An 18,957-nucleotide genomic window follows, 5' to 3' on the forward strand; every position below is an offset into this window, starting at 1 on the left:
TGTGTTTTTCTAGGAATTTGTCCATTTCATTCAGGTTATCTAATTTCTTGGTATACAGTTGTTCTCCTACAATCCTTTTTATTTCTGTAAAATCAGTAGTAATATCCTCATTTTCATTTCTGATTCCAGTAATTTTGACTATTCTCTCTTTCTTCTTGGTTGGTCTAGCTAAAGGTTTGTCAATTTTGTTGACTTTTTAAAGAGCCAACCCTTGGTTTTCTTGATTTTATCTGTTATTTTTCTGTTAATTGTTTTATTTATCTCTATCTTTATTAGTTCCTTCATTCTGCTAGCTTTAGGTTTACTTTGTTCTTTTTCTAATGTTACATTGCTTATTTGAGATCTTCCTTCTTTTTTAATGTAAATATTTACAGCTATAGATTTCCCTTTAGCAGTGCTTTCACTTTATCCTATAAATTTTTGCTATGTTGTGTTTTCATTTTTCATTCATCTCTAAGTGTTTTCTAGTTTCCCTTGTGATTTCTTCTTTAATTCATTGACGTTTAAGAGTATGTTGCTTTATTTCCACAGGTTTGTGAATTTTTCTGTTTTTCTACTGTTATTGATTTCTGACTTCATCCTATTGTGGTCAGAGAAGATATTTTGCATGACATATGTCCTTTAAAATCTATTGAGATTCAATTTGTAGCCTACCCTATGGTCTGTTCTAGAGAGTGTTCAATGTGCACTTGGGAAGAATTTATATTCTGTTGTTGATTGAGTGTCCTGTATATCTGCTAAATCTACTTGGTTTATTGTGCTATTCAAGTCCGCTATTTTCTCACTTATCTTCTGCCTAATTGTCCTATTCACTACTGAGAGTATGGCATGGAAGTCTCCATTATTGTAGAACTGTCTATTTCTCCCTCCAAGTCTGTTAATTTTTGCTCCATATATTTTGATGGTCTGTTATTAGGTACATAAATTTTTATAATTGTTATACCTTCCTGCTGTATGGAAACTTTTATGTCTTCATTTTCTCTTATAACTTTTTGACTTACAGTCTATTTTGCCTGATTTTGATATAGACTCCCTTATTCTCTTTTGGTTACTCTTTGCACAGAATATTCTCCCCCCCATCCCGTGACACACAAGACTTATAATATTCATATACATGACACAATGAGAATATGCATCCCTTGAGAACATGCAGTGTTACGTGCAATTTAAGGCAAAAGAATTTTCTCATTGTTAAGGCACACTAAAAATCAAGAAAGTGAGAGTGACTTTATAAGAAAATTGAGACCCATCAATGTGTCTTTTTTTGAGACAGGGTCTCACTCTGTCACCCACGCTGGAGTTCAGTGGTATGATCACAGCTTACTACAACCTCAAACTCCTGAACTCAAGTGATCCTCCGACATTAGCCTGCTGTAAAGTTGGAACCACAGGCATGCACCACCACACCTGGATTTTTTAAAAAAATTTTTTGTAGATATGGGGTCTGGCTATGTTGCCCAGACTGGTCTCAAACTCCTGGTCTCAATCAATCATCCTACCTTGGCTTCCCAAAGTGCTGGGATTATAGATGTGAGCCACCATGCCCAGCCACACCAGTGTGTCTTAACAATGAGTCTTGAGACACTATTCTGGGAGGTAAACTTTGACCTGTAGTTTCTCTGAGCAAATATAATGATGAGCCATGTCATACAGTGACCCTATTTTATTTCTAGATAGAAAAGAAAAGATTTATTCTTCTTTTCTTCTCTATTGTGCTAAGAATCAGCACAAAGAAATATCATTAACTTTGTATATGAATCTAATTCCCACATTATAGCCAGAATTTAAAAATTTATCCACTCTCATTCACTTTCTTAAAGCACTTTGATTAGTAAATGGTTTCTAATACTGTTCAAAAATTCTAGAAATAAATTTTTGAATAAACAAAAATGTATCAAGCATTTATTACATCCACAGCACCATAAAATAGAGAGGTACAAGAGCCAGTAACAGCAATCAAAATGGATTTTTAAAAAGATGCAATTTGCAATAGCAACAAACATCAATAAATCAACTGAGAATAAATTTAACTAAAGATGTACAACAAGGGACGATACAGCAGTGCAAAGTTAGCTATAATGAGAAGCTATAACAATTCTAGGCTTAAAGAGAACCCAAAAAGGCTGGGCACAGTGGCTCACGCCTGTAATCCCAGCACTTTGGGAGGCCGAGGCAGGAGAATCACTTGAACCCAGGAAGCAGAGGTTGCAGTGAGCCGAGATCATGCCACTGCACTCCAGCCTGGCGACAAAAGCGAGACTTCATCAAAAAAAAAAAAAAAGAACCCAAATAAAAACTACAAGAGAGAGTCAACTCCAGGAAAAGAAGTATAACCATTTAGAGGGATTCAGCAATCCACTGAGACAAAGCAAGGAAAAATAAGTATCCTCTATTCAATCTCTCAATCTGATTGCCTTTTCAAATTTAAACTTTTAATTTCACAGTAGAATTTAAATTTGTTCAAATTCTTCTGGTTATGTTTCTCATTTGTCGTGTGTGTGTATGTGTGTGTGCGCTTGTGTATTTATGTCTGTGTAATTTTATCACATAGCTTTGTGTATCCAATACCACAGTCAAGGTACAGAACAGTTCCAACACCACAAGGATTCATCTTGCTGCCTTTTTACAACCACATTCCCCTGCATCTCACCCCTCTCACCCTCCTAAACCCTGGAAACCACTAATCTCATTTCTATAACTTTGTTATTTTAAAAATATTATACAAATGGAATTATACAGTGGATAACCCGTTTACTGTGTTGTTCATATTTTATCTTTTTTTTCTTTGATGGAGTTTCACTCTTGTTGCCCAGGCTGGAGTGCCATGGCGTGATTTCAGCTCACTGCAACCTTCACCTCCCGGGTTCAAGCGATTCTCCTATCTCAGCCTTCCAACTAGCTGGGATTACAGGCTCCCGCCACCATGCACGGCTAATTTTTGTATTTTCAGTAGAGACAGGGTTGATCACCATGTTGGCCAAGCTGGTCTTGAACTCCTGACCTCAGGTGATCCACCCGCCTCAGCCTCCCAAAGTGCTGGGATTACAGGAGTGAGCCTCCGTGCCCAGCCCATATTTTATCTTTTATACCTTGCTGATTTTCCATCCGGTAGTTTTGACAGCTATTGAAAGTAGGGTGTTACTATCCCCAACTATAATTGTGGATTTGTCTGTTGCTCCTTTAGGCTCTCTCAGTTTTTGCTTCTTGTATTTTGAGGCTCTGTTGTTTGCTGCGTGTAATTCAGGATTGTTGTCTCTTCTTAGTGTATTGATCCTTTTTCATTATGTCATATCCTTGTTTGTCTCTAGTAGTTTATTATGAAGTCTACTTTATCTGATATTGATAGAGCTATATCTTCTTTTCTTTTTTTATTAACGTGTGCATCGTATCTTTTTTTACCTTTTACTTTTAACTTACCTGTGCTGCTGAATTTTCAGCTAGTTTCTTGTAAACAACATATAGTTTAGTGATTTTTTAAATTCACTCTGCCCATCTATACCTTTTAGTTGATGAATTTTAACAATTTACATTTAAAGTAACTATTAATATATTAGCACTTAAGTTTGCCATTTTATTTGTTTGTTTTTCTCACTCTGTCATTCAGGCTGGAGTGTAGCAGCATGATCATAGTGCACTGTAACCTTGACCTCCTGGCCTCAAGCCATCCTCATGCCTAGCCTCCCAAAACAGTGAGATTACAGGTGTCAGCCACCATGCCCGGCCTATTTTCCTATTTTATTTTATTTTCTGTTGTTTTCCTTTTTCTTTTTTTTTTTTTTTTTTTGTTCTACAGGTTACTTGAAGATTTTTTTCATATTCCATCTTTAGGATTCTATTTACAGCATTTCTTAGTATATCTCTCTTATAGTTTTCTTATTAGTTGCTTTGGGTATTACAATATACATATGTGAGTCATCACTCTCCACTGGTATCAGTATTTTACTTTTCTGTTGTTGTTTTTTGTTTTTAAGATAGGGTCTCACTCTGCCATCAGGCTAAAGTACAGTAACACAATCATACCTCACTGTAGCCTCCAACTCCTGGGCTCAAGTGGTCCTTCTGCCTCAGCCTGCTGAGTAGCTGGAACTACAGGTGTGTGACATCATTCCTGGTTTTATTTTATTTTATTTTTTTAGAACAGGATCTCACTATGATGTCTATGTTATCAAGCTGTGTTTGAAAACTTCCCAAATTTGGTGAAAGACATAAACCTACAGATTCAAGAAGCCAATTGAAACTTAAATAGGATAAATCTAAAGATGTCCTGGCCAAGGGACATCATAATCAAACTTCTGAAAAGTAAAATTAAAAAAAAAAATCTTGAAACCAGACAAAGGAAGAAAAAGACACATTACCTATGGAAAACTCCAATTTGGATTTCTTGTCTGAAACAATGGAGGCCAGAAGGAAGTGGCACCACATTTTTCAAGTGCAGACAGCAGAGGCTCATCAGCCATGAATCCTCTGTCTGGTGAAATTACCCTTCAGGAATGAAAAGGAAATAAATGCATTAGCAAATGAAGGAAAGCTAGAAGAACTAGCAGATCTATCCTAAAAGAATGGCTAAAGGAAGTTCTCAAGCAGAAAAAAAATAATAAAAGAAGGAATCTTGGAGTGTTAAGAAGGAAGAAGGAACAACAGAGCAAAAATATGGATACATACAATTGACTGTTCTTCTCAGGAATTTCTGTTTATTGGTTTATTTTTTTGAGACAGTGTCTCACTCTGTCACCCAGGCTGGAGTGCAGTGGTGCAATCGTAGCTCACTGCAGCCTCAAACTCCTGGGGTCAAGTGATCTCGCTTCAGCCTGCCAAGTAGCTGGGGCTGCTGTTCTATCATTTGGAGTGAGGTATGAAAACCACTCTTCCATTTAAGTTCCTTTCCCTTCCACACTCTTAAATATTATTGTCTCTAGTACCAGACAGTGTTATGTTTCTGTTTCAAGCATCAAATATGATTTATAAATTTCCTGAGAAGAAGATTCAGGCACAGTGCCTCACACCTGCAATCCCAGCACTTTGGGAGGCCAAGGCAAGAGGATCACTTGAGCCCAAGAATTCGAGAATAGTCTGGGCAATATAGGGAGAGCCTATCTCTACAAAAAATGAAAAGTTAACTGGGTGTGGTGGAACACAGCTGTAGCCCTAGTTACTCAGGAGCCTGAGACAAGAGGATCGCTTGAGCCCAGGAGTTTGAGGCTGGAATGAGCTACGATTGCACCACTGCACTCCAGCCTGAGTGACTGAGTGAGACACTGTCTCAAAAAAATAAACAAATAAACAGAAATTCCTGAGAAGAATAGTCAATTGGATGAATCCATATTTTTCCTCTATTGTTCCTTCTTCCTTCCTAATATTCCAAGATTCCTTCTTTTATTATTTTCTTTCTGCTTGAGAACTTCCTTCAGCCATTCTTTTAAGGTAGATCTGCTCATTCTTCTAGTTTTCCTTTATCTGCGAATGCATTTATTTCCTCTTCATTCCTGAAGTGTAGTTTCACCAGACGCAGGATTCGTGGCTGATGATCCTCTGCTTTCAGCACTTACTTGAAAAATGTGGTACCACTTCCTTCTGGTCTCCATTGTTCCATATGAGAAATCCAAATGGGTGCTTTCCTATAATTAATGTCTTTTTTCATTTTGTTCCTTTGGTTTTAAGATGCTTTTGTCTTTAGTTTTCAGACGTTTGATTATGATGTGTCTTGGCAGGGACTTTATTCTATTTGAGGTTCAATTGGCTTCTTGAATCTGTAGGTTTATGTATTTCACCAAATTTAGGAAGTTTTCAGCCATTATTTCTTCAAGCTCCACGCTTTCAGCCCCACTTTCTTTCTCCTTTCTTTCTGGGATTCTGATGATTCCAGTGTTGGATCTTTTATTATTGCCTCACAGGTCTTGGAAGTTCTACCCATTCTTTTCAGTCTCTTCTCTCTGCTGCTCAGATTATGTAAACTCTATTGGTCTGTCCTCTACTCCTTCTATCCTCTGTCATCTGTCTTCTACTATTGAGTTAAATGAGTAAGATTTTTATCTCAATTATTTTGTTTTTTAGTTATATAATTACCAGTTTGTTCTTTTTCAATTACTTCTTTGATGAAATTTTTGTTTTTTCAGTTGTTTTAAAAGAATCTGTAATTCGTTGTTGAATGTTTTATGATTGCTGCTTTACAATTCTTACAGATATTATAATTCCAGCATCTGATTCATCTCAGTGTTGGTGCCAGTTGATTGTCTGTTTTCATTCAAGTTGTGATTTTCTGGTTCTTAGCGTGATGGGTGGTTTTAAAATTATATCCCTTCTGATACAGACATGAGGATATATATATATCCTTAACATTTGATATCTATATTATAAATCTCTGGGTCTTATTAACAAATTGTTATCATTTATTAATTAATAATAAATCTCTTATTTTAGCAATCAGTCACCCTGTTTAGATTTAGCACACAGATTCTGACCTACTTTTATGGGTTTTGGTTCCAAGGACAAATTAATTTTTCGAGCTTTTACAGTGTTACTTTGATCTATTTGGTTTATTCTAGTGCTACAAGAACTTCTGCTTGTCTCTGTATGTGCTGCCTAAAAGGGTGGAAGGTACTTCCCTAGACTGGGCCACCTGGTACCTCCACCTTGAGGAGGGAAGTCTCAGGCCCAGAGGAATGATAAGCCTTCCCAAGCTGCCTGCTTGTTGCGATGAGATTTTCCTGGCCAGAGATGTCCTGCCTCCTGCTGTCTCTCAGTGGGTGAGGAGAGTCTCTGGCCTAGCAAGGAAGAGCATGTCCCCTGGCCACTTATTGTCAGTAGATTTTCTGATTTACCCCACTTGCTAATGCCTCTGGGCTCACCTTGTGTTGTCAGTGGGTCTCCCACTTGATCCAGCACAGGAATGAGGCTGCCTGGGCTGCCTTCTGTTGCTAAACAATGGTCAGGAAACTCCAGGGCCTGGGTCACATTTTTCTCTCTGCTGGGTAGCCATAAGATGCCCTGCCATTATGCTGTTCCTCCTGTCCTGGGGTCTCCAACAAGTCTGTATTCTTTCCACCTTTCATAGGTGTCCTTTGTGTCTCTTATATGGTTTCTAGAGTTTATAGTTCTGCTTAGAGGGGAGGAGCAGAGAGGAATGAGTGTGCCATACCATCTCAACTGCAAATCTGATCTCCTTGTGGTGCCTCTCATTGACTAAATCCTACTGTAAAGGAGAAAGTGAAAGAGGCTGTCAATGCAAGACATGAAGGCAGCCTCCCAGAGCACAGGACAGAAAAGAGAAGGCTGAAAAGCAGATATGGAAAGGCATGCAGAGACTATCCAGCACAATGACCATTATTCTGTGAAGGAAAAATCAAAACACGTTGACATCTACAGAGACTAAGGGCATTTACACACCAACACACAACTATTCTTTTTTTTTGAGATGGAGTCTCACTCTGTCGCCCAGGCTGGAGTGCAGTGGTGTAACCTCGGCTCACTGCAACCTCCACCTCTTGGGTTCAAGCAATTCTCTGCCTCAGCCTCCTGAATAGCTGGGATTGCAGGCACCTGCCACCACGCCCAGCTAATTCTTTTTTTTTTGTATTTTTAGTAGAGACAGGGTTTCACCATCTTGGCCAGGTTGGTATTGAACTCCTAACCCCTTGTGATCCACCCGCCTTGGCCTCCCAAAGTGCTGGGATTACAGGCGTGAGCCACCGCGCCTGGCCAACACACAACTATTAAAAGAACATCTGAAGAACAGTAACCCCAGAGAGGAGGGTAGAAAAGCAAGAGAGTGAGATGGGAAACCACTAAGATGTGTTGGTATATTCAACAAAACATTTATCAACCATCAAAAAACCTAATTCTGGGATTTAAAAAAGATGATACTCAATCTCTAGATAAAAATTGCAAAGAACAGAGTGATTGGTTCAATGAGCAAGGTGTAATACCACTCCCGTCTTGTTCTAGAAAGAGAAGCAGTCTTGGGTAACTTTAGACTCCATTAGAAACTTTGTAATCATAATGGATGCTAAAAGAAATTTAGGGGCTGGGCATGGTGGTTCACACCTGTAATCCCAGCACTTTGGGAGGCCCAGGTGGGCAGATCACTTGAGGTCAGGAGTTCGAGACCAGCCAGGTCAATACGGTGAAACCCCATCTCTACTAAAAATACAAAAACTAGCTGGGCATGGTGGTGCACGCCTGTAGTCCCAGCTTCTCGGGAGGCTGAGGCAGGAGAATAGCATGGACCCAGGAGGCAGAGGTTGCAGTGAGCCAAGATCGCACTTGGCTTATGCACTCCAGCCTGGGCCACAGAGTGAAACTCTGTCTCAAAAAAGAAAGAAAAAGAAAAGAAAGAAATTTAGGGAAACTACTAAAAGAGCAGCTGTTTAGTCTTTAGTTTCTAATTCTACATAGAAGGGAAATGGAAAATACAGAAATATTCATCAATTTTAAATAAGGCCAATAAAAAACAAAAGAGGGAAGAGAAACAAAGCAAAAAAGATGATAAAGATAAAAGAAAAAATCAGTTGCACCATTAGGGCACACAGAGCTTGCAGAAGACCTGGATGAATCATTTGATTCAGCAAAATGCAAATGTTTCCGTGAACTGAAGGCAAATCATGTATAATCTGTGCTTTGTGCTCAAAGTACTTTAAAAAAATAAAGCAGCTTTGCTTTCTCACAAAAATTGATAATTAACCAGCTCTCTGAAGGATCTATTGATGTGGGTTGGGGGTGTTAAAAATCAATCCCTGGAAAAGCTATTTCCTGCTTCTCTCTCTTCTTTCCCCACCCTGCCTCCTCACCCCCGTTAAACCTTGGATCTTCAAATCCCTTTCAATCCTCAGAGCCTAGCACTTGTTTTGCCCCAGGGGATAAAATGTGTGGGGGAAGTAGCAATGAGTACATAAATCACATTTTTACAATAATTTTTCAAAACAGTAAAACAACCAATAACAGTGACTGTGTCTAATTCATCTTCAAATCCCCAGTACTTACACAATAGTGAATGACACACAGAAGTTATGAATATAAGAAAGAAACAAAGAAACAAAGAAAGAAAGAGAGAAAGAAAGAAAGAAAGAGATAGAAAGAGAGAAAGAAAGAAAGAGGAAGAAAGAAAGAGAAAGAAAGAAGAAAGAAAGAAAGAAAAAGAAATAAAAAGAAAGAAAGAGAAAGCGGGAAGGAGAATCAACAAACATTGAGCACGTGCTATGTGCTGAGCACTGAGGAAACATAATTGCAAAGGTGTGGCATTTTATTTATATAGTTGGTTATTTACTTATTTATTTTAGGCATAGCTTATAAATTGATGGGATCTACAGCTGATGGTGCTGAAGGGACTTAGCTCCATTTGCAAGAATCAAGGAGATTTCCTAGACAAGACAGAGGCCCCAGGTCACTGTAACCCGTGCTCTCTTTGCTCTCTTTCTCCCGGTCCTCACTGCCTCTTACCCAGCCACTCCTCACCAGTGTGAGTGTGGTAGGCTGATGACATCTCACCCTGCATCCATCCCACTCTTCCTCTTGCTTAAAGTTGGAAGCATAGCTCCAGCCACATGCCCTCTTTTTGGCAAAGTCTCTCACCTTAGCAACATCTCCATGGGCAACAGTCTTAACTAATTCTTCATTAAGGTCACAGGTTCTTGAGTTTCAAGTCATTTCTTCAGGAGTCAGGAGAGTCTTTCACCAGATGCCACATGAGAAATTGCTGCTGGATTATATGTCCAAGATGTTACACAAACTCTCACCTTTAAATCACCTTCTCTTTTGATCACAGTGACTAATTAGCAGAGCCAATGTTGAAATGCAGATCTTCTGGTTCTTAGTGTGATGGGCCATTTCTGCTTTTCACAGTGTTCTCAGATTTTTCGAGTTCAATCTCAGCGCCATGCCATGTGTGCTGGCCTTCTGGGGACCTATCTTAACCACCCATCCTGCACTCTAGGATACAACTGAATGGCAACCTTCTTCCTATCCACCATGCAGGCCTTAAGAATGCTGTCCTATTCAGAGAATGTCATCATGTGGACAAAGTCCTGAGCAATGGATAAGGATGACAACTGATATGACAGCAGGAAGTTTTTTTTCTCAGGTGAGAGGACAATGGAAACAGGGGAAAACTCTTCTGTGGACATCAGCTTCTCAGCAGTGAATACAAACTGAGAAATCAAAAGAGAACTTTTTTTTTTTTTTGAGACAGTTTCACTCTTGTTGCCCAGGCTGGAGTGCAATGGCATGATCTCGGCCTCCCAGGTTCAAGTGATTCTCCTGCCTCAGCCTCCCAAGTAGCTGGAATTACAGGCATGCACCACCATGCCTGGCTAATTTTGTATTTTCAGTAGAGATGGGGTTTCTCCATGTTGGTCAGGCTGGTCTCGAACTCCCAACCTCAGGTGATCCGCCCACCTTGGCCTCCCACAGTGCTGGGATTACAGGCATGAGCCACTGCACCCAGCCAGAGAATGTTTTTTAAAAAGTGGCTCCTCTTATGTATTTATCTTCCAATAATCATAACTGCCTGGATTATGAGTGTCTCTTTCTTGGCTCTGAATCTGAACCGGGTAATATTTTCTGCTCCATTCCCATTTGCTCTTTTCTTGGCCTTTGAAGGACAAACAGAAGTTTGCCAGGATCAAACATGCTAATCCAGGCAGCGGCAGGGGCTTCTGAGGGGACAGGCTGCCCTGGGAGATGCCGAGAATGGCTGTTTGATTGGAGTATGTGATGCTTGGGGGAGCAGAGAATCTGTGGAAAGAGCCACCTGAGGGCTGAGCTGCTGCCCAAACTTGAAGGACTCGATGAGCTTTGCTAAGAGTTTGACTTTACTCTCCAGGTAGTAGAAGAAAATCAATTTTTAGATTGAGAACATCATTACATTGAGAACATGTTGTAAGAAAAATGGTGAAAAAGTACAAGTGCTAAGGTAAGTAGAAGCAGGCAGCCGGGCGGCCTGATGGACACCTGTCACAACAGCCCAGATGAGACCCAGTCTGCACTAATGCAGTGGCCCAGGGCATTAAGGGAGGGCTGGTTCGAGAGCTACTTAAGCGGAAACATGGGCAGGAAATGAGAACCTAAAGGATGTGAGTATAAGACAGAGGTCGAGGACATGAGGTGAACAGTGGTACCTGCACTGAGATTAGATACGTGTACTGCTCTACTCAGAACTCTTTTTAAAAATAGAGACGGAGTCTCGCCATGTTGCTCAGGGCTGGCCTTGAACTGCTGGGCTCCAGTGATCCTCCTGCCTCAACCTGGCTTCTACTCAGAACTCTTAAATGACTTTTCTGAGTCATAGCTGACAATCTGGAACCTGGAGCCCTACAGCCACATTTTTTTCATACTGAAGCAGATGTACTGTTTTCCTACCAAATGACAGTCCTGTGAACTGTCCTTTACTGACTTTACAGAGTCCTCTTTCTCCTTTCTGCCCCCTAGGTGAGTATATCCTCAAGAATTTACACATCACTCTCTGTATTAGTCAGGATTCTCTAGAGGAATAGAAATAATATGATGTATAGATGATAGATAGATAGATAGATAGATAGATAGATAGATAGATAGATGATAGATAGATAGATATAAAGGGGAGTTTATTAGGGAGTATTAACTCACACGATCACAAGGTCCCACAATATACCATCTGCAAGCTGAGAAGCAAGGAAGCCAGTCCAAGTCCCAAAGCTGAAGAACTTGGAGTTTGATGTTCGAGGGCAGGAAGCATCCAGCACAGGAGAAAGATGTAGACTAGGAGGCTAAGCCAGTCTAGTCTTTTCAAATTTTTCTGCCTACTTTATATCCTGGTCGTGCTGGCAGCTGATTAGATGGTGCCCACCTAGATTGAGGTTGAGTCTGCCTTTCCCAGCCCACTGACTCAAATGTTAATCTCCTTTGGCAACACCCTCACAGACACACCCAGGATCAATACTTTGCATCCTTCAATCCAATCAAGTTGACACTCAGTATTAACCACCACACTCTCTTTTCTTTTTGCACTTAGTCTTTCAATAACAGAATGAACACTTAGCTGTCTACATGCCCTGCCCTGTGTTCTCTCCCCCAGTCCTTCATTTCCAAATGCCCGTGAGCCTCTTGGATTTACACTGTTCACCTGCGTTGCAAACTCAGCATGTTCAATAGGACTAACCATGACCCTCCCCTGACAACTGGCCCCCTCTATCAACATGCCTCTACTGTCCACATATCAGTCTTCCAGGCTAGCAACCTTGAAGCCACTTAAGTAATAAAAGAGCATGTGTCCTGGGGTCAGACAGATTCTGGGTAATATATGACTCAACCAACTACTCATCAGATGACTTTGGCCAAGCTAATCAACCTTTCTGAACCTCCGCTTCTTCAATAGGAAAATGGGGTTGATAGTCCCTAACTCAGAAGAATGCTACAGAATATCAGTGAGATCCTAAGGGCTGATGGACCAGAGCGGGGCCCAGCACAAAGTCAGCTATCAAGTAACACTGGTTCTCATCTACATCTTTTCCTCTGCTTCCTATTCAACTGGTCGCCAAGTCCTTTAGTCTCTTCCTACTAAATCCTGGATTTTTCCCTTTTTCTCCATTTCCATGATGAGTCTAGACTACATGTTTTCATACCTCAGTTATGCTAACAGCCTCTGAACTGGTCTAACAACCTTATTCTCTCATGTGCTGGTTAATAGTTCATGTTGCCATATTCCTATTCCTAAAGCCACATTCCTATTCGTAAAGCATTGCCTTCTCCTCTTAGACGCACTTCATGTGCACAAGTTGGGTACTGATATGAATATTTCTAAGACGTGTGTACGTGTATATGTGTGCTTCCTCACTCTCATTTTCTTGTAACTTACATGAAACACAGCCTTTCTTGATGCCTTCCAGCCCCTTAGTGTCCTCCTCGTAGCAGAGCACAGGGATTGGCAAGCAGTGAGCACTCAGCCAACGCCATCAGCCCTGGGATCGACATGCCTGTTCCTAGAACACTGCTCAATTTACTGCAGTTTATTTTCTAGAAGATACAAAATTCATGATTTCATAGGATTCCAGAAAATAGCAGTAACCACAGGAAGGGAAAAGGCAGATTATTCCAGAGGGAAGTCTCCAGCCAGGCGGAACCCATGAGAGAAATTAATGTGATGAAGAACATGTGTGAAAGTTATAAAACCCTGTGAGGTAGTTGCCAGGAGACTGGGGGAAGGGAGAATGGGAGCTGTAGTTTAATGAGTACAGAGTTTCGGTTTTACAAGAGGAAAAGAGTTCTGGAGACTGGTTACACAACAATGTGAATACACTTAATACTGCTGAACTACACACTTAGAAATGGTTAGAATGATAAAGTTTGTTTTTTTAACCACATTAAATTTTTTTAAGTTGTTTAAAAAAAAAACACCTCTCTGAGGAAAATCCTAAAGGAGCTGAAGGCTGGGGAATTAATGAAGCAGGAAGGAAAGCACTCCCGTATTACGGGGTGCACCCTTGCCACGGTGTTCCCATGATAGCCTACATTACCTCTGCCACAGAGACCAGCTTGTTGCATTAAGTTTCCTCTCCAGTTGTCTGACTCTCTCACTAGACGAGATGTGTCTTTAAAACAGAAGTGACCTGTTTACCGTGGCATCCCCTATCCCTAGCACAGAATAGGTGTTACACAAAGATTTGTCCAATGTGAATAAATGAAGAGTTTGGCATGGTGCTAGACATGTTCTTTTCAAAGTGCTTTTCGCATATTAACTCATGGAGTACAGCTCTATGTGGAAGACATTTCTGCATTTGTTTTTTGAGACGAGGTCTTGTTCTCTCATCCAGGCTGGAATACAGTGGTACGATTACAGTTCATGGCAGCCTCCACCTCCTGGGCTCAAGGGATTCTCCTGCCTTAGCCTCCCAAGTAACTAGGACCACAGGCGCAAACCAATGAATCAAGCAAATTTTTTTTTTTGGCGAATTTTTTTTTGAGATGGAGTCTCAGTCTGTCACCCAGGCTGGAGTGCAGTGGCGTGATCTCGGATCACTGCAACCTCTGCCTCCCGGGTTCACGCCATTCTCCTGCCTCAGCCTCCCGAGTAGCTGGGACTACAGGCGCCTGCCGCCAGCCCGGCTAATTTTTGTATTTTTAGTAGAGACGGGGTTTCACCGTGTTAGCCAGGATGGTCTCGATCTCCTTACCTTGTGATCCGCCCGCCTCGGCCTCCCAAAGTGCTGGGATTACAGGCGTAAGCCACTGTGCCCGGCCGAATCTTTTTTTTTTAATAGAGACAGAGGCCTTGCTATGTTGCCCAGGCTGGTCTTGAACTCTCAAGGGTCAAGGGATCCTCCCACCTTTGCCTCCCAAAATGCTGGGATTACAGGCAAGAGCCTTGACACCCGGCTGGAAGACTTTTCTTTATCCCCACTTTACAGAGGGGGAAACTGAAGCACAAAGAGATCAGGAAACTTCCCCAAGGCCAAACAAAGTCTAACAACTTTGTTAAGGAAACTTCCCCAAGGCTACACAACTAATAAATGGTGATGCCAAGATTCAAGCCAGAACAGGCCAGCTTCAGAGACCATCCTTTTAACCACTTACCACGCTGACATTCAGCAGATGCGAAATTGGAAACACAGGTCAGCTAAAAGTCCAAAGTCAAACTATGAGTGTGTGATGAAGCCCTAGCATACCCTCACTGCTTTCAGGAAATAACTGGAACCTGGGCCGCAAGGGAGACAGACTGCCTCTGTGTGAGTAACGTGTTCACCAGCTTCCAGTCAGAGGTGGAAGGGCCACACTTTGGGGGCATCTAGAGTTTTTTTACTGTGTGTGTATGTTCATGCATGTGTGTTGTGTGTTGTGTGTGGTATGTGATGTGTGTGTGTTTTGTGTGGTGTGTGTGGTGTGTGTGTATGGTGTGTGTATGTGTGTGGTGTGTGTTTGGTGCGGTGTGTGATGTGTGTTGTATATGCGTTGTGTGTGCTGTGTGTTTTGTGTGTGTGTTGTGTGTGTGCTGTGTGTGGTGTGTGTGGTGTGTGCTGTGCTGTGTGTGTGTTGTGTGTGTGGTGTCTGTGTGATGTGTGTGTGTTGTATGTGTATGGTGCATGTGTGGTGTGCTTTGTGTGGGGTATGTCTGTGTGTGTGTGTTTGCTTGTTTTCTTCCCACTACAAGAATCTAAGGCCCCTAGGGTAAAAATCATGTCTGATTCTCCTAAATCTCCAAAGCCTGGCAACAGTGCCTGGCACAGAGTAGATATTTAGACAAGGGAAGGAAGGAAAAAACAATCTTAAGCCAAACTACCACTTATGGCAACAGATCAATGTCACAGTTCAAAGCATCTGTAAGCCTATGAATTTCTAATTAATCTTAGAATTATTATTTCATATCTTCCAAACTCACTATTTGACCTTCAGTATGTTTATTACCCTTGTGGAGCAGGTGATTACAGTAAGAAAACTGAGCGACAATTATCCAACATATAAGTCCCCTGTGTACAGCACAAATATCCCCAGTCCAATAAACAAACGATCCTTGTGAATATTTACAAGGGAGCAACTGTTATAAAGTTCCAGGGAGTGCACAGTAGCAGCAACCAAAAATTCACAAGTAGAGATGAAAAGTACAAGCTGGGCACAGACTGGTTCCAGGTGATAGACGGACTGTGGAAGGGAAGGTGGGGGTTATGAATTCCCCAAAATCTCATGCAGAATATTGTGTACTTAGACACGTGTGTGTTTTTCTGGAGAAATGATTCATAGCATTCACTATAATCTCAAAGGGCTACTTACCTAAAACAACGAAGTCATAACTGTGACTTTAGTACAGTTGATCTTCCGTATCCGCAGGTTCTGCATTGGGGGGATCCAACCAATCATATTATTTTCAATCTGCAGTTGGCTGGATCCGAGGATGCGGAAGCAGAGGATACAGAGAGCCAAGCTCACGTTTTCAACCTGCGACTGCTCGGATTTTGGTGTTTTGGGGGAGTGGGACGGGGTCCTGGAACCAATCCCCTGGGGATATGGAGAGTCAGCCGTACCTTTGCTCATCTGTTGGAAAAGAACGTGTTTCTGCAGGGCACCAAATGACGAAGAACTATAATGACTCCTTGCCGTAAACTGAAGGTGGGCTGCAAGGCTCCGTATGGATGGAGAGAGCAAGAGAAAGGATATAAAATTTGTGAAACACCTAGGAACTGGACAGATGTAAGAGTTTCAGGCAAAATTTGGTGCTAAGGTGCTAGTTATTTCTATCGCTCTAATTACTGATTTTCTTAGAAGTTGAACAAAACTGATTCTTTTTGAGTATGTCTTTGTAGAAAAACGGAGTTTGAATTACATGAGAATGAGGAACAGGTCAGGCCATGTGGCTGTCTAGTTTTCAAGACCTCTCCAGGGCTCTTCACCCAACATACTGAAAAAAACTCTCTTGAAACACCATCAACTTTGTTAAATTATTTTTTCAGCTGAAATATACAGAAAACATCTCCAGTTATTTTCTCTCCTCATATCAAGCAATAATCAAAACCAAAATCCTAGACTATTATAAATAGTAGATGGCATAAGATCAGTTTTCTCTTAAAAAATGACCTGGGGCTTGCAGGGAAGAGGTTCATAAGGAAACACAGCAGGGGAAGAGGGGAAAATTCTAATGTTTCCCAGTACTTTTCCTTACTGAATTTCTCTAGCTACTATATTTAAATTTGGCTACCAGTCATATAAATACAAAAAGGTAAATAACGTCACTCTACTTTCTTGAGAAAAATCCCAATTCTGTGTAATTACAGGGCAGGAGACAGATTACACCAGGCTAGGGGTTAGCAACTTTTGTTTGCCTTTTTGTTATCACCTGTCACAATTTGCTGGGAAGGTAAGAAAACACTGCTGTTTATCTGGATTCATGGCAATCTCTAACTTTTAGAAACTTCAAGGTTTGACTGTGACCATGTTGGCAGAGTCTAACAAATTGCTTTGCAAATGAAGTAGGCGACACTGATTGATTGTGTTTTACAATACACCGCTGGTAGAAAAAGAAAAAAAAATTTTCTTCCCCTAAGTTGAATTTTAGTTCCACGTATGCTTCTTTCCCAAGAAAAACCAATAGAAATTAGGTCAGTTTACATATATAGGCTGGCCATAAAATCTGGGAAACAAAGATAATACTATTTAATTTTGTATATGTGGAAGATATTGTTGATATTATACACAGCTGCCTGTGCTGACTTTAAAGACACATCTCTTATGTGTTAATGTGAAATTGTTACTGGAAATGGGTCCCGATACAGCCCCGAGAGAAGGTTCTTGGATCTCTCCCAAGAAAGAATTCAGGGTGAGCCCATAGAGTAAAGTGAAAGCAAGTTTATTAGAAAAGTAAAGGAATAAAAGAATGGCTACTCCATAGACAGAGCAGCCCTGAGGGCTGCAGGTTGCATTTTTATGATTATTTCTTGATTATATGCTAACAAGGGGTGGATTACTCATGCCTCCCCTTTTTGGGTCATATAGAGTAACTTCCTATTGTTGTCATGGCATTTGTAAACTGTCATGGCGCTGGTGGGAGTGTAGCAGTGAGGATGACCAGAGGTCACTCCTGTCACCATCTTGGCTTTTGTGGGGTTTGGCCGGCTTCTTTCCTGCAACCTATTTTATCAGCAAGGTCTTTATAACCTGTATCTTGTGCCGACCTCCTATCTCATCCTGTGACTAAGAATGCCTTAACCTCTTGGGACTTCAGCCCAGTAAGTCTCAGCCTCATTTTACCCAGGCGCTATTGAAGATGGAGTTGCTCTTGTTCAAACACCTCCGACAAAATGATAGGGTTTGTACTGAAAGCTCAGCAAACAGTTGACAACCATGGGGGCAAATTGGAGCAGTAAAGACAAACTTGATCCTTAAAGCTTCTCAGCCTCTACTTTCCCTTCAATTATCTAAATGAATCGGGTCACAATAATCTCTTTGGTGGGTGTGTGCATAATGTAGTTAGTTGCTGTTGCATGCAGCTGCACTATAGGAAAGATGGCTCTCTTCAAAATAAAGCATATTTCGTAGCTCTTGAACTGAATCATCACTACTTACATGCAAAGAAATAAGTGTGCAACACCCAAATCAAACTAGGCCCACTCCCTGCTGCTTTTTAGGTAGATTGTTCAGTAGAGAGCTTTCCTGAGTCTCAAGACTCCAATGCAAATGATGAAGGCTCTCAGGAGAGCACAGCATGGGGCAAGCGCTGATACAAGAAGGAAGATCAAGTTGAGCAGATGATCCAGACATTTAATAAGAACTTCCCAATCAAAGTTTTCAGTATTCAAATAATTATACAACTGTTGACTTTTTTTTTTTTTTTTTTTTGAGACAGGGTCTCACTCTATCACCCAGGCTGGAGTGCAGTGGCGTGATCTTGGCTCACTGCAACCTCCACCTTCCAGGTTCAAGAGATTCTCCTGCCTCAGCCTCCCCAGTAGCCAGGATTACAGGCGCACGCAACCAGGCTCAGCTAATTTTTGTATTTTTAGTAGAGATGGGGTTTCACCATGTTGGCCAGGCTGGTCTCAAACTCCTGATTTCAAGTGATCCACCCACCTCAGCCTCCCAAAGTGCTGGGATTACAGGCGTGAGCCACCGTGCCCAGCTGACATTCTATTGAAGAGAAAGAGGAAACAATATGTATTAGGTTTCAAGACCTAATTCTTTCCCATGTTTTAAAATAACATGTCTAAGTGATTACAATTTTGCATGGTTCCTACCTTAGGCACTTTCTCTAGGAACCTAATGCAGTTAGAAACATTTGGTGAAAAATAATTTACTATCCAGAAAGTTTTCCTGTTTCCAAGATAAGAAAGCCTGTTCTACCATCCCAGCAGGCAAGGGTTGTTTAAGTTACTAGATAACAAAGTTGTTATTGATTCTAGTATTTTTACTCTTCCTGATTCCCTGCAGTCCAAAGGGAGTTTGTCAGACCAGGAGTGATTTTTATTAAAAAAAAAAAAAAAAGAGTAGTTGCTATTGTTGTAACTGGCC

General features: G+C 41.1%; 2 long non-coding RNA genes across 2 annotated transcripts in view; one reads left to right on the plus strand and one right to left on the minus strand.

Moving 5' to 3' along the window:
* PLUT (PDX1 associated lncRNA, upregulator of transcription) overlaps positions 1 to 18,957 on the minus strand; it is a 98,200-nt gene that overhangs the window by 73,610 nt on the left and 5,633 nt on the right. The gene's annotated exons all lie outside the window — the stretch shown is intronic.
* On the plus strand, positions 9,173 to 10,896 carry LOC105370130 (uncharacterized). The gene is made up of 3 exons (XR_941788.2): positions 9,173 to 9,225; positions 9,967 to 10,072; positions 10,814 to 10,896. It is a non-coding gene; the product is annotated as an uncharacterized LOC105370130 (long non-coding RNA).

This window comes from Homo sapiens, chromosome 13, assembly GCF_000001405.40.
Source record: "Homo sapiens chromosome 13, GRCh38.p14 Primary Assembly".
In the NCBI taxonomy this organism is placed as follows: domain Eukaryota; kingdom Metazoa; phylum Chordata; class Mammalia; order Primates; family Hominidae; genus Homo; species Homo sapiens.